Genomic DNA, 13873 nt, shown 5'->3' on the forward strand with positions numbered 1-13873 from the left:
GTTCTGATCCCAAAGTCTCACAATCCTTCAAGTATGAAATCAGTAAAAACTCCAACTTCCATTTATGGATTTACGGAGAACTTTTTATACATCGAGGGGCTAATTCAATCAGTAAGTCACTTTGATTTTTACTCTGATCACCGAGACTAATAAGCAGCGATGCCGAACCAAGTAAATGAAAGAATCGTGAGCCATACTTCAGTAGATAAAATTTAAATGTAGACTGATTTTCTTCACGATTGCTAGGGAAGAAATCCTTACAGCGTACTTAGAAATCTTTGTTTTAAAATGATAACGCTGTTATGTTGGGCTGAAAATAAAACGGATACTTCCCCAAGGTCAGCAGCGGAGGAGGCAACCGTGGCCTTGCCAAAGTCATCCCCTCTTCCCAGCCCCCGTTCTTCCTGCCGCCCTCCCCCTGCCCCCTCCCTTCCCCACCCCCATCAACAAACTCCGCCGGGACATTTCAGTACCACCACTCCCTAGCCCGGCGAAGCGCAGGGGCGTGCTGGGGAGGAGTAAAGAGGGTGGGGCGGAAACCCAATTTCATTGTTCGCGGGACCGATTCTTCCCAAAAGAGCTCGCTGGCAGCGCCTGCGCAGTGCGCCCTCTTTGTGCCAGGCTGCAGCAAGCTGGTTGTTTGTGTGTGTCTACCCGAAGCTGCGGAGGCGGAGCGAGGGGGCGTGGCCTGCCTTGTCGCACTCTAATTGGGCTTTCGCAGGAAAGTGGGCGGGCGCGGGGCGGAGCTTCCGATAACAACACTCGGAGCTGGGGCTGTGGCTATTTGTTGCTGCGCCGCCACCGCCCGAGTCATGTTCCGCGATCTTCTCAGGCTCTCCTAGCAGCATCCATCGCCGCCACCCTATCTTCACTGGCTTCATTCACCTTCTCCTTCTCTCTTCGTTGCTGAGCGACAAGCTTCCTAGCGCTATGACTGTCGTCTCCGTCCCGCAGCGGGAGCCGCTCGTCCTGGGTGGCCGCCTTGCGCCGCTTGGCTTTTCCTCCCGAGGTTACTTTGGGGCCCTCCCGATGGTGACCACGGCTCCGCCTCCTTTACCCCGGATCCCGGACCCCCGGGCACTGCCCCCGACCCTCTTCCTCCCTCATTTCCTAGGGGGAGATGGCCCGTGTCTGACCCCCCAGCCTCGCGCTCCAGCAGCTCTGCCCAACCGCAGCCTCGCCGTGGCGGGAGGCACTCCTCGGGCAGCGCCGAAGAAGCGGCGAAAGAAGAAGGTGCGGGCCAGCCCCGCAGGGCAGCTGCCCAGCCGCTTCCACCAGTACCAGCAGCACCGGCCGAGTCTGGAGGGCGGCCGGAGCCCCGCGACCGGCCCGAGCGGAGCGCAGGAGGTCCCGGGCCCGGCCGCCGCCTTGGCCCCGAGTCCTGCAGCCGCAGCCGGCACGGAGGGAGCCAGCCCCGACCTTGCCCCGCTGCGGCCCGCGGCTCCCGGCCAAACCCCCCTCAGGAAAGAGGTGAGGCCGCCAGGGGGCCGTTGGGGAGTCGGGCCCTTAGACGGTCGCGGCCGAGCTCTGGGGCTGCAGACCCTGCACCCGGGGGGTCGGGCGGGTGGGGGCGGGGTGGGGGGGGCGGCTGTTTACTCGGGAGGGAAGTTTCCGTGACGCCCGCTCCATTCTTGCTTTGGGGGAAGAAGGGGGAAGGGGAGGCATGCGCTGGCGCTTCTGATTGGCTCCCAGGAGTCGGCCAATGAGAAGCGCCGCTGCGCCCCAGCAACAGCCCCGATTTAGAAGGCTGGCGGCGTTCCAGGGGGTTTCGGCGTTCCGGGCGCGCGGCGGGGTGGGGGCAGGGACAGGGCCCGCGGGAGGGCTGACGTCAGCGCGCGCTACGTGCCCGGCGCTCCGGCGCCCATGAAGGAGGCGAGGCCGGGTGGGGGCAGCTGGGGAAGGACTGGGCCCGGCTTTCGGCCTCCCGGCTATCGGGAGCCCCAGTCCTAGTCGGTGAAACGCGGAGACGGCCTCTAACGTCCCGCCGTAGGGGGTGGAGTGGGCTCCGAGCGGCTGGGTTTCGTTTGGTTGGAGTTGTGCCAAAATGTGAGGTGCCCGGTGTGGGACGCGCAGTCCAGTTGGGGCTCTGCCCGCCTCGGGCCTGACCTACTTAGTGGTTCCAAGTTAAGAGTTGGCAGGAGCCGCACAAAACTGATTTTATTACTTTTGCCACTGTGGTACTTCGTGTTAGTGTGTCCAGAGTAAGTTTTCAGAAGAGTTAGCAATTGAATTGACTTAGCCCGTCTGATTGCAGTGCTATTGCATTAGGATAAAATGGATAGAAGTTTAAATAGGATTAAGTCTACGAAATGATTTCAAAGTCTTGTCAGAATAACGTTTTATGGACTTAAGTTCAATGACTTAATCTTCGTAATAATGAAATGAAAAAGTTCCCGTTATTTAGTGAAGAATGTTGCATTGAATTAGAGATTTGCGGTTTATCTGTGCCCTTGGGAAAAAATTTGCCCACCTTGTTTCTTTAAATTATCGTCTCAATGTCTCCCTTTTAAAATTCCACGACTTTTGAAATATCCGTGATTACCTAAAAGCTTTTGTGCTTGTTTCCTGGCCTGTTTTCTAGAACAGGTACTAACTAGGGAGCTCTGGCAGTGAACCTTATTGACGTGGAAAGTTGTGGTCCTCTTTCGTGTCGTGTCTTGCTTACTACCGCGTTACAAGTGTTGGTAGTGCAGTGATCTAGTGGATTACCTTACGCTTTTCCATCCTTTCAAGACTTCCTATAAGGCCCACTTAAGTTGGGAAAGATTAAGGTGAGTGAAGCAGCGTTCTTGAAGCAGTTACTAAACCAGAAAGGAGGTACACAGCAAAGATTGTTTCTGGCACTCGTATTTGGAAGAGAGCTCATTAGTCTTCCTTACAGTTGTAGAAAGGTGGACTTGGGTTATTTCAGACTTTTTTTAGTTTGACATTTTAGAACTGGTTCACGTTGCATACTGGTAACTAGCAGTGGTGATTAACTGCATTTTTAGTGGCGAACAAGAGTGAACTTAAAAGTCAAGGGAAATTTAAGTTTTTTGTTGTTTTTTTTTTCTTGAGACAGAGTCTGCCTCTATCGCACTCCAGGCTGGAATGCAGTGGCACGATCGATCTCTGCTCACTGCATCCTCCCCTTCCCAGGCTGAAGGGATCCCGCCTCAGCCAGCCTCCCGAGGCGCGTGTTACCACGCCGGGCTGATTTTTATATTTGTAGTAGACATGGGGTTTCGCTATGTTGCCCAGGCTGGTCTCGAACTCCTTGAGCTTGAGCGATCTGCTTGCCTTGACCTCCCAAAGTGCTGGGATTACAGGCGTGAGCCACCATGCCCAATTAAAGTTTTTGTAATTTTCAGCTTTTATTTTAGATCAAGGAGGTACTTGTGCAGGTTTGCTACATGGGTATATTTCGTGATGCTGAGGTTTGGAGTATGAATGATCCCATTCCAGGTAGTGAGCATAGTACCCAGTAGGTCCCCATCTCTCTCTCAACCCCCCTTCTAGTAGTGCCTAGTGTCTGTTGTTGTTCCCCACTATATCCATGTTGTACCCAGTGTTTAGCTCCCAAATTCACTTGTAAGTGAGAACTTGCGATATTTGGTTTTCTGTTTCTGCATTAATTCGTCTAGGGTAATGGCCCCCAGCTACATACGTGTTGTCACAAAGAACATAATTTTGTTCTTTTCTATGGCTGTGGGCAAACTTAAACACAACAAAACTAGATATGTGATATGAGGTTCATAACTGATTTTTATCTAGAAACTATATTTACTTTTGTGTTCTTGTCTTTGTAGGTTTTAAAATCAAAGATGGGAAAATCGGAGAAAATTGCCCTTCCCCATGGCCAGCTTGTTCATGGTATACACTTGTATGAGCAACCAAAGATAAACAGACAGAAAAGCAAATATAACTTGCCACTAACCAAGATCACCTCTGCAAAAAGAAATGAAAACAACTTTTGGCAGGATTCTGTTTCATCTGACAGAATTCAGAAGCAGGAAAAAAAGCCTTTTAAAAATACCGAGAACATTAAAAATTCGCATTTGAAGAAATCAGCATTTCTAACTGAAGTGAGCCAAAAGGAAAATTATGCTGGGGCAAAGTTTAGTGATCCACCTTCTCCTAGTGTTCTTCCAAAGCCTCCTAGTCACTGGATGGGAAGCACTGTTGAAAATTCCAACCAAAACAGGGAGCTGATGGCAGTACACTTAAAAACGCTCCTCAAAGTTCAAACTTAGATTTCAGATTTCAGTATGTGTGTAAAACATAATTTTTCCCATATCCCTGGACTCTTGAGAAAATTGGTACAGAAATGGAAATTTGCCTTGTTGCAACATACAATTGCAAAAGATGAGTTTAAAAAATTACATACAAACAGCTTGTATTATATTTTATATTTTGTAAATACTGTATACCATGTATTATGTGTATATTGTTCATACTTGAGAGGTATATTATAGTTTTGTTATGAAAGTATGTATTTTGCCCTGCCCACATTGCAGGTGTTTTGTATATATACAATGGATAAATTTTAAGTGTGTGCTAAGGCACATGGAAGACCGATTTTATTTGCACAAGGTACTGAGATTTTTTTCAAGAAACAGCTGTCAAATCTCAAGGTGAAGATCTAAATGTGAACAGTTTACTAATGCACTACTGAAGTTTAAATCTGTGGCACAATCAATGTAAGCATGGGGTTTGTTTCTCTAAATTGATTTGTAATCTGAAATTACTGAACAACTCCTATTCCCATTTTTGCTAAACTCAATTTCTGGTTTTGGTATATATCCATTCCAGCTTAATGCCTCTAATTTTAATGCCAACAAAATTGGTTGTAATCAAATTTTAAAATAATAATAATTTGGCCCCCCCTTTTAAAATAGTCTTGACTCTTTGTGTGTGACTGTTTCTCATGTTTGAATGTGTGACTAGGAGATGATTTTGTGTGGTTGGATTTTTTTGACTTCTACTTTACTGGCTGAGTGTGAGCCGCCATGCCTGGCCATAATCTACATTTTCTTACCAGGAGCAGCATTGAGGTTTTTGAGCATAGTACTTGACTACTCTAGAGGCTGAGACGGGAGCATCTCTTGAGCCTGAGAAGTGGAGATTGCAATTGAGCTAGGATCAGGCCACTGCACTCCAGCCTGGGTAACAGACGCTGTCTCAAAAAAAAGGCCAAGAGAAAGTAAGGGAGACAGATTTTGAGTGGGAATGTTAAGCAATCAGGTCAAGTAAAGAAGATCGAATATACAAAGGAACTTCTGTTTGATGTTTTGTGTGAGTCACCATTCCTTCCTTACAAATGCAGATACACCTTCCTCACAAATGGAAGGGAAGCTCATTTAGAAGTTTAGTTTGAAGATGCCCCCAATTTTTAGTCACCAATTTTAGCTTTTGTTAGTAATGTGTTGTAAATATTAATACTAATGACTGACTACAGTGAGTTCTGACATCTCTCCCAAATCAGTTTGTGATTCTAGAAAGGGACACATTAACAGGTTTTAACAACACATTTTTGCACATGGTTATAAAAATTCCTACACAATGTAATATAAGTCCTACCGCCTCAACCACCCTTCTTTCCTTGTCCAACATTTCTCAGCTCTTGTCATTTTGAGCAGTATGTCTGCAGTTTAATGTGTGAGGGCTTATGTGTAACGTATGTTCAGGAAATAGAAGGATAAATGGCAGAGCTGAAAGTTTAGGTGGGATGGGGAGAAAAGACAAATATAACTAAAATACAAGCTATATTCCCCACTCTACAACAACAAATGCCTGAAGAGAGAAAAAGGTAAAGTCTCTTAGGGTGAAGGGACTAATTTTGGTGAGAAAATTTTCTCTTTGGGAATCTGACACCTTAGAAAGTAACAGTGAGTTGAGCTGGGCATGGTGGCTCACGCCTGTAATCCCAGCACCTACGGAGGCTGAGGCGGATGGATCACGAGGTCAGGAGTTCAAGACTATCCTGGCCAAGATGGTAAAACCTTGTCTCTACTAAAAATAGAAAAAAATTAGTCGGGCTTGGTGGCAGGCACCTGTAATCCCAGCTACTCAGGAGGCTGAGGCAGAAAATTGCTTGAACTCGGGAGGCGGAGGTTACAGTAAGTCGAGATCGCGCCACTGCATTCCAGCCTGGGTGACAGAGCAGGACTCCATCTCAAAAAAATGAAAAAAAAAATTGAGTTGAGCCTTAAAAGATAAGTATTTGACACACAAAAAAGGAAAAAAATTGTGAGGTAAAAGTTTGAGCAGATGGTGGTGTAAAAAGATGCACAACGCTGAATCCCAGCACTTTGGGAGGCTGAGGCTGGTGGATCACCTGAGGTCAGGAGTTCGAAACCAGCCTGCCCAACATGGCGAAACCCTGTCTCTACTAAAAATACAAAAAATTAGCTGGGTGTGATGGTGGGTGCCTGTAATTCCAGCTACTTGGGAGGCTGAGGCAGGTGAATCGCTTGAACCCAGGAAGCGGAGGTTGCATTGAGCCAAGATTGTACCACTGCACTCCAGCCTGAGCGATGAGTGATACTGCATGTCAAAAAAAAAAAAAAAAAAAAAAAAAAAAAAAAATGTACAATGTCCAGTAGCTTAAGAGAAATGCAAGAAAGGAAGGGAAGTTTTTAAAAGGTATATTGGGGTAAGAACACGAAGGGCCTTCAGTGTCACGCGGAAGAGCTTCAACTTTATTTTGTAAGCATGGCAGTTCTCAAAGGTTTATGAGTAAGGGAATGGAATTCTTGCTTCAAAAAGAAAACGTAGAAATATGGAGGACAGCTTGATAAGGGAAAGCTTGAAACAGATTACTTAGGTGAGGATATTTCAGTAGCTCAAAAGAGAAAAGGGCCTAGAGGGCATTATCAGAGGTATGGGCTTATTTGGGGGAATGTTTTAGAGCTAGAATTGAGGATTGAGCATCTGAATAGAGGGTAAGGAAAAGACTTGAAATTGAGCAACTTGAAGGATAAATCTACCAATTAGGGGATTGCAGGGGGATCAGAATTATAAAGGAAGGTCATTTTGATTTGGCATGTTGAACTTTGGGGTGCCTCTAGGACATCCATGTGGAAAGGCACAGCAAGTAGATAGAAAATAGGTCAGATCCAGAGGTATGGCTTTGGTAAATAGTGCACAAAGCAGTAATTACAACAGGGAAATGAGAGTGGAATATTTTATCTCTATCCTTTTCTTTTTGTCTCATAAGATTTAATGCTTTTAGGCCAGGCACGGTGGCTCATGCCTGTAATCCCAGCACTTTGGGAGGCCTAGGGGGGCAGATCACTTGAGTCCAGGAGTTCGAGACCAGCCTGGGTGACATAGGGAACCCCGTCTTTACTAAAAATGCAAAAATTAGCCGGGTGTGGTGGCACATGCCTGTGTTCCGAGCTACTTGGGAGGCCGAGGCAGGAGGACCGCTTGAGCCCGGGAGGCAGAGGTTGCAGTGAGCCGAGATAATGCCACTGCACTCCAGCCTGGGCAACGGAGTGAGACTCCCTGTCTAAAAATAATAATAATAATAATGCTTTACCAGTAGTCTTGACCTCATCCTCTCTGCCTCCTATGGACTGTCAACTTCACTGTGATAGTAGTTGAATTATAATTTCCTCATGAAACTTATATAGAGGTTGTTTTTTTTTCCGTACCTGTAAAAGTCTGTGTTAGCAGACAGTTCTAATTTAAATTCTGAATTCTGATAGCAGGGGCCCAGTTGGTGCAAAGGAGGAATAAAGTTTCCTTCCCTTTTCTACAATTTGAAATTGGGTGAAACTGATCTTTTGTAACTCTTTATCTCTTCTTGCAGCTCTCTCATCTCCTAATAACCCTCCTCATCTTATTGCTGGATAAACTATCCTTTGTTTTCGTGGGTGGAAGGCAATTTATATGCAATCAATATCTGCTTCAGGTTGAAGGAATCAAGTATATGTATCCTTGGGTATGAAAGGCTGATAGTCCCATCATACTCCTATATTTAAATTTTTGAAGGACATTGCTAAACTAAATACATTTTAAAATCACAGAATTGCCTTGCTGAGTCTGATCCCTGAGCTAACTCCTCCAAGTTGTTTTCTCATTGTTGTACTTCTTTCCTTCTGAATCTAGAAATCTCCCGGAAACTGTTGCATAAGTTTTCAAATGGGGAAAGAAAGTATGCCTGTGTTGTGAGATGAGATGGTGTAGGAGACAGAATTGTGTAAACACAAATAATGTAATTCAGGAACTACTTGTTTTGTTAACTTGAATTATAAAAATACCAAATTCAATAACAATTTAAGATGTATAAAAGGTGTTGCATTTAGTGAGGGTCCACTGTTGAGATTTTAGAATTCATTTTCTAGAGCAGGGTTTATAATAATGTGGGCTTAGTGTAGAACTGGCTACACAAATTTTAAATTCCCTCATTAAAGGAATAGCTTATCATAGATTATGTGGCATTAATCATAGTTTCTGAATTTAGTAATGGTAAAAAGGGACAAAGTGGGACAATTGATAGAAGCAACCTACAAAATTTATGAAAGTCAGATACACATTTATCAAAGGAGGCTACATGTTCTATTCAAGCTGCATTTAATTAGAAGAGGTCAGATAATCTTGAACATTTAACAATACTTTAAAAGACAAAATGACATTAAACAATGATAAAAATACCTCATTTCTCTAGTTATTCACACAATATTTTTATGAATGTGGAAGAAAAGATTCAGGAAAGTTAAGTAATTTTTCTTAGTCTAATACAATTAGCATTCAGAAAAATATGTGTTATGTCTGGTTGTAAAGACACTAGATGATAATCACACTCCTCCAAAGCTGGTTATATATACATGGCTGCTCCTACTAAATTATTACAGATAGTTCTCTTATTCCAAGATTAGAGTTTGTTAATCTGACATTGTCAAATGCAAATTACAAATGTGTTCTTGGCATCTTGGCATTTTAGGATCTTGGGCAAGGGATGGCAAGTAGAAATGTTTTCTTTTTTTGGAGACAGAGTCTCACTCTGTCATCCAAGCTGGAGTGCAGTGGTGCAATCTTGGCTCACTGCAACCTCCACCTCCTGGGTTCAAGTGATTCTGCCTCAGCTTCCCAAGTAGCTGGGACTACAGGTGCACGCCGCCCTGTTTGGCTAACTTTGATAGTTTTAGTAAACACAGGGTTTCGCCATGTTGGCCAGGCTGGTCTCGAACTCCTGGCCTCAAGTGATCTGCCTGTCTCAGCCTCCCAAGGTGCTGGGATTACAGGCATAAGCCACCCCACTGGGCCTTTTCTATTTGAGACAGGGTTTTGCTCTGTCATGCAGGTTGGAGTGCAATGAGTGGTGCGATCACAGTTCATTGCAACCTCTGCCTCCTGGTTTCAAGTGATGTTCCCACCTCAGCCTCCTGAGTAGTTGGGACTACAGGGACGTGGACATGTGGTTTCACTGTGTTGTCCAGGCTGGTCTCAAACTCCTGAGCTCAAGTGATCCACTGGCCTCGGCCTCGCAAAGTGTTGGTATTACAGGAGTGAGCCACCAAGCCCAGCCGAAAACGTTTTCCCTTTTTGTTTTCAGGGTTTTTAAGTGATTTCTTCCTTTTTGTAGCCATTTTGATGATTTTTGGTTATTTCCAATTGCAAATGTTTGATTTAAATTGAACTCACAATTGCCTACTAACAGTAAGATTTTTAAATACAAGATCTTTATTATTTCACTTTACTTGACAACATGGAATCAGAGGGCTTTTTGGTCCCATCAAACCTTTGGATAAGTTACAATTTGAGGGGATTTTCTAACTATAAAACAAGGGCTTTCAACAATCCCTTCCAAAGTTGAGCAAAATTAACCTTACTCTTCAAATGACTAGGCATTTAATGCTCTCAAATTTTAGAAAGGATTACTATCAAAGACTGGAAATGTCCCTTTTCTACCAGACTTTCAAGGCTCTTAGAGTCACTGTTCATTCAGTCCAGTCTCCTTAACCATCCAGGTCTATTTCTTAAGTTCCTGTAATCATGTGATGCCTGAGACCAGATCCTGAATTTCAAAAATAAGAAAACAGAATTGTTTATGAAAGGTATTCAACCAAGGTTTTCTGGCTGTACTTTAGCTAATTAGAATACCTCATGTATGAATATTCCAGGTTTTTTTTGAAATACTTTGTTAAATTCAAAATACTTGGGGGATAGATGGAAATATATGTGGCAAAGCAGGTGTAATTAACTGCTAACTGTAGAATCTAGGTAGTGGGTATATGGATGTTCCACTTTAAAATTCAGCTACATTTAACATTTTTTTATACTGAAGATTTTTATAATAAAGTGTTAAAGAAAATAGAGTTAGGGAAAATTAAGGCTGCTTTACTGGTTCACTCCAACATTATATATAATTTGAATATTTGCTTTTTTTTTTTTTTTTTTACTAATAATTCTAAAAGCTCACTTATATGTAGCATACAGCACAAATAAGCTGATCTTATGAGGTTGTAAACTTTGAACCTTCTGAATGTTTTCCTCTGCATTTTCAAGTAGGTTGGCTAGTTGGTTATAACATCTAAAAAAACAGAACTCTAGTTAATGACAGAAACACCAAGGCCATTGTAAATAAGAGCTGAAAGATTAGAGAAACAATAACATATTTAAGCACTGGCTTATTTAGGAAATGTGACAGATAACATTTAATGTTAATGTTATCTGTTATGTTAATGTTAACATTAACATAAATGTTAATACTTGAAGAATAATTAGAGAAGGATAAAGAGGTAAATTGGGATTATAAAGATTCTGAAAAGGGCTTGGTTTGGTGCTCACGCCTGTAATCCCAGCACTTTGGGAGGCCGAGGCAGTAGGATCACTTGAGGCCAGGCATTTGAGACCTGGCAACGTAGTGAGACTATTTCTACAAAGATTCTGAAAGGGATTTATAACTGTCCGTGGTTTGAGAAGAGAGTTAAAGAAATGAAAGTGGAATAACAAACTGCAAGCAGCAAAAGGAAATGTGTTTATGAAGAATGTCGCCAGGTACGGTGGCGCGTGCCTGTAGTCCCAACTACTTGGGAAGCTGCGGCAGGAGGATGGCTTGAGTCCAAGAGTTCTGGGCTGTACTGTGCTATGCCAGTTGGGGGTCCACACTAAGTTCAGCATCAGTATGGTGACCTCCCAGGAAGGGGGACCACCAGATTTACTAATGAGGGGTGAACTGGCCCAGATTGGAAACAAGCAGGTCAAAACTCCTGCGCTGATCAGTAGTGGGATCATGCCTGCGAATAGCCACTGCACTCCAGTCTGGGCAACATAACAAGACCCTGTCTCTTAAAAAAGAAAAAAAAAAAAGATGCATGTCCCCAGAAAAGAAAGGGGCTGACTGAGGGCTACTTAGCACTGAAGTGACTAGGGAGTAGAGTGTAAGGCAGTGTGCAACTCTTAACATTTCACTGTTTCCTGCCTTTTAAAGCCTTTAATGCTGAGTTAACACCAGTGGAGTAAATGAGATGCTAAAAGCATTGTATGAAATTATTCCTTAAGTGATGTAGTTCCACTTTCTATGATAGACACTGAAACTACAATCTTTTGGTCAAAATAAAGGGTGGACAAGGTGTGGTCACAAAAGCCCAAATGAGTATCAGTTACATTTGACCACTGATAGGCAGCTCAGAGCTTTGTATATAAAGGACTATTTGTACTTTAGAATATAAAATTTTCATCCATGTTTTTAAGAAGATTATAATGGAGCATATATAGAAACCTGATACATGGCACTTAATGTGGTACTGCAGATCAAGTCCCAGAAACATCGCCATTACTGGTATTCAGTAATGGTGCTGGGACATTTGAATTTCTATATGAAAAAATATATGTAAATAAAAATATACATACCATTCTAGATTTGTGTAAGTACACTCTATGTTTGCACAACAGAATCGCCTAACAATGTGTTTCTCAGAATGTATCCTGTCATTAAATGATCTATGACTATATCCATTAAAAACTGTAATGGGCCGGGCACGGTGGCTCACGCCTGTAATCCCAGCACTTTGGGAGGCCGAGGCGGGTGGATCACGAGGTCAGCAGATCGAGACCATCCTAGCTAACACAGTGAAACCCCGTCTCTACTAAAAATAGAAAAAATTAGCCAAGCGTGGTGGTGGGCGCCTGTAGTCCCAGCTACTCGAGAGGCTGAGGCAGGAGAATGGCGTGAACCTGGGAGGCGGAGCTTGCAGTGAGCGGAGATCGCGCCACTGCACTCCAGCCTGGGCGACAGAGCAAGACTCTGTCTCAAAAAAAAAAAAAAAAAAAAAAAAAAAACTGTAATGAACATTCTAACTAGAATATTAGTATTTTAAATTCAGCTACATTTAACACTTTAAGGCCAAAATTTTAAGGTTTACTGACAACAATGTTTAAAGATGTTTTTCCTAATAGTCTTATGAAATTATATAAATACTAGCCAGGTGTGGTGGCTCACGCCTGTAATCCCAACACTTTGGGAGGCCGAGGTGGGCGGATCACGAGGTCAAGAGATCGAGACCATCCTGGTCAATATGGTGAAACCTGGTCTCTACTAAAAATACAAAAATTAGCTAGGCGTGTGGCACACGCCTGTAGTTCCAGCTACTCGGGAGGCTGAGGCAGGAGAATAGCTTGAACCTCGGGAGGCGGAGGTTGCAGTGAGCCGAGATTGCACTACTGCACTCCAACCTGGCGACAGAGTGAAACTCGATCTAAAAAAAACAAAAATTATATAAATACTTCACAGTGTTAAGATAAATTTGAGTAACACTTTTTTTTTTGAGCCAAGGTCTCGCTCTGTCACCTAGACTGGAGTGCAGTCGTGCAAACACCGCTCACTGCAGCCTCGACCTCCTGGGCTCAAGTGATCCTCTCACGTCAGCCTCCTGAGTAGGAGGACTACAGGCCCGCTCCACCACACTCCGCTAATTTTTAACAATTTGTTGCAGAGACAGGGTCTTAACATGTTGCCCAGGCCAGTCTTGAACTCCTGGGCTCAAGTGATCCTGTGGCCTCAACCTCCCAAAGTGCTAGGATTACAGGTGTGAGCCACCATCCCTGGCCCCTTCTTATTTTAAAGATATAAGATTGCTTAGAAGAGTCTGACAAGTTAATAGCTTATATCAATTCTGAAAAGATATTTAACAGAGTAAAATTGTTACTATGAATCTGATACTGCCTCACAAGTGTAATTCCCCCAACCCACAAAAGTCCGTTGATGTTTTCTTATTATTAAAAGAAACAGGGTATCAGTTGGGGCTTAGAAGGCTATTTTATATTGAGATTTTTGTTGACATTAAAGTCAATTTAACAGCATTTTAAGTCCATACTATTAGGAGTAAGCTAAGAAAACTGGAATGTAGTTTTTGTTTTTTTTTAAATTTTTATTATTATTTTTTTAATAGAGATGAGGTCTCACTATGTTGCCCAGGCTGGTCTCGAACCCCTGAGTTCAAGTGATCCTCCCACCTCAGCCTCCCAAAGTGCTAGGATTACAGGCCTGAGCCACCGTGCCTGGCCATAGTTGTTTCTTTAGATAACAGGTGATCAGTCTTATAAGCTACATTTCTGTAAAAACAAAACAGGTGGTCACAAGCAAATACTAAGAATTCTGGATCGTGTAAACAAAAACAGGTGGTCACAAGCAAATACTAAGAATTCTGGATCGTGTCCCTCCATCTACCTCTAAGAAGTAAATTTCTAAAAAGCATGTAGTACTTATGCATTTGGTTAATAGAATTTTACTCCTAGAGAAGTAATTTTGCTTCTCGCTTCAATTACACATTTTCTGAGGAACTACTCACCTTACACAAGCTTTTGCACACAAAAACCAAACAGTAATGAACATGCAAGCAATGTAGTTATAGGACTAAATATTAACTACTGGCTAGGCAGTCTC

At 43.3% G+C, this 13873-nt stretch overlaps 1 protein-coding gene, 1 long non-coding RNA gene and 1 pseudogene across 3 annotated transcripts, besides 7 other annotated features; 2 read left to right on the forward strand and 1 right to left on the reverse strand.

Annotated features, from left to right (window-relative positions):
- PNRC1-DT (PNRC1 divergent transcript) lies at window positions 198-616 on the reverse strand. Its single transcript, NR_187250.1, has one exon. It is a non-coding gene; the product is annotated as a PNRC1 divergent transcript (long non-coding RNA).
- Window positions 412-621: a silencer, noted in NCBI's record as "silent region_17382". NCBI's record gives its function as "represses an Ori minimal core promoter by ATAC-STARR-seq in GM12878 lymphoblastoid cells {active_cell/tissue: GM12878}" and the evidence as "EXISTENCE:reporter gene assay evidence [ECO:0000049][PMID:35858748]".
- Window positions 672-821: a silencer, noted in NCBI's record as "silent region_17383". NCBI's record gives its function as "represses an Ori minimal core promoter by ATAC-STARR-seq in GM12878 lymphoblastoid cells {active_cell/tissue: GM12878}" and the evidence as "EXISTENCE:reporter gene assay evidence [ECO:0000049][PMID:35858748]".
- PNRC1 (proline rich nuclear receptor coactivator 1) lies at window positions 787-5196 on the forward strand. Of its 2 annotated transcripts, none has more exons than NM_006813.3 (2): window positions 787-1470; window positions 3789-5196. In NM_006813.3, exons 1-2 carry the CDS (start codon window positions 931-933, stop codon window positions 4230-4232), a joined length of 984 nt encoding a protein of 327 aa, NP_006804.1. In that variant the 5' UTR covers window positions 787-930; the 3' UTR covers window positions 4233-5196. The 2 variants fall into 2 exon arrangements, with proteins under 2 accessions (NP_006804.1, XP_047274062.1); XM_047418106.1 differs by lacking the exon at window positions 3789-5196 and adding an exon at window positions 2587-2771.
- Window positions 1212-1591: a silencer, noted in NCBI's record as "silent region_17384". NCBI's record gives its function as "represses an Ori minimal core promoter by ATAC-STARR-seq in GM12878 lymphoblastoid cells {active_cell/tissue: GM12878}" and the evidence as "EXISTENCE:reporter gene assay evidence [ECO:0000049][PMID:35858748]".
- Window positions 1212-2460: a biological region, named in NCBI's record as "NANOG-H3K27ac-H3K4me1 hESC enhancer GRCh37_chr6:89791183-89792143".
- Window positions 1500-2460: an enhancer, noted in NCBI's record as "NANOG-H3K27ac-H3K4me1 hESC enhancer chr6:89791183-89792143 (GRCh37/hg19 assembly coordinates)". NCBI's record gives its function as "activates a minimal SCP1, AML or CMV promoter by ChIP-STARR-seq in naive H9 embryonic stem cells {active_cell/tissue: H9 hESC(naive)}" and the evidence as "EXISTENCE:reporter gene assay evidence [ECO:0000049][PMID:30033119]".
- Window positions 4543-5070: an enhancer, noted in NCBI's record as "OCT4-NANOG-H3K27ac hESC enhancer chr6:89794226-89794753 (GRCh37/hg19 assembly coordinates)". NCBI's record gives its function as "activates a minimal SCP1, AML or CMV promoter by ChIP-STARR-seq in naive H9 embryonic stem cells {active_cell/tissue: H9 hESC(naive)}" and the evidence as "EXISTENCE:reporter gene assay evidence [ECO:0000049][PMID:30033119]".
- Window positions 5071-5597: an enhancer, noted in NCBI's record as "OCT4-NANOG-H3K27ac hESC enhancer chr6:89794754-89795280 (GRCh37/hg19 assembly coordinates)". NCBI's record gives its function as "activates a minimal SCP1, AML or CMV promoter by ChIP-STARR-seq in naive H9 embryonic stem cells {active_cell/tissue: H9 hESC(naive)}" and the evidence as "EXISTENCE:reporter gene assay evidence [ECO:0000049][PMID:30033119]".
- On the forward strand, window positions 10982-11278 carry RN7SL336P (RNA, 7SL, cytoplasmic 336, pseudogene; annotated as a pseudogene).

The sequence above is a fragment of the Homo sapiens genome, chromosome 6 (genome assembly GCF_000001405.40).
Source record: "Homo sapiens chromosome 6, GRCh38.p14 Primary Assembly".
NCBI classification, from domain to species: Eukaryota; Metazoa; Chordata; class Mammalia; order Primates; family Hominidae; genus Homo; species Homo sapiens.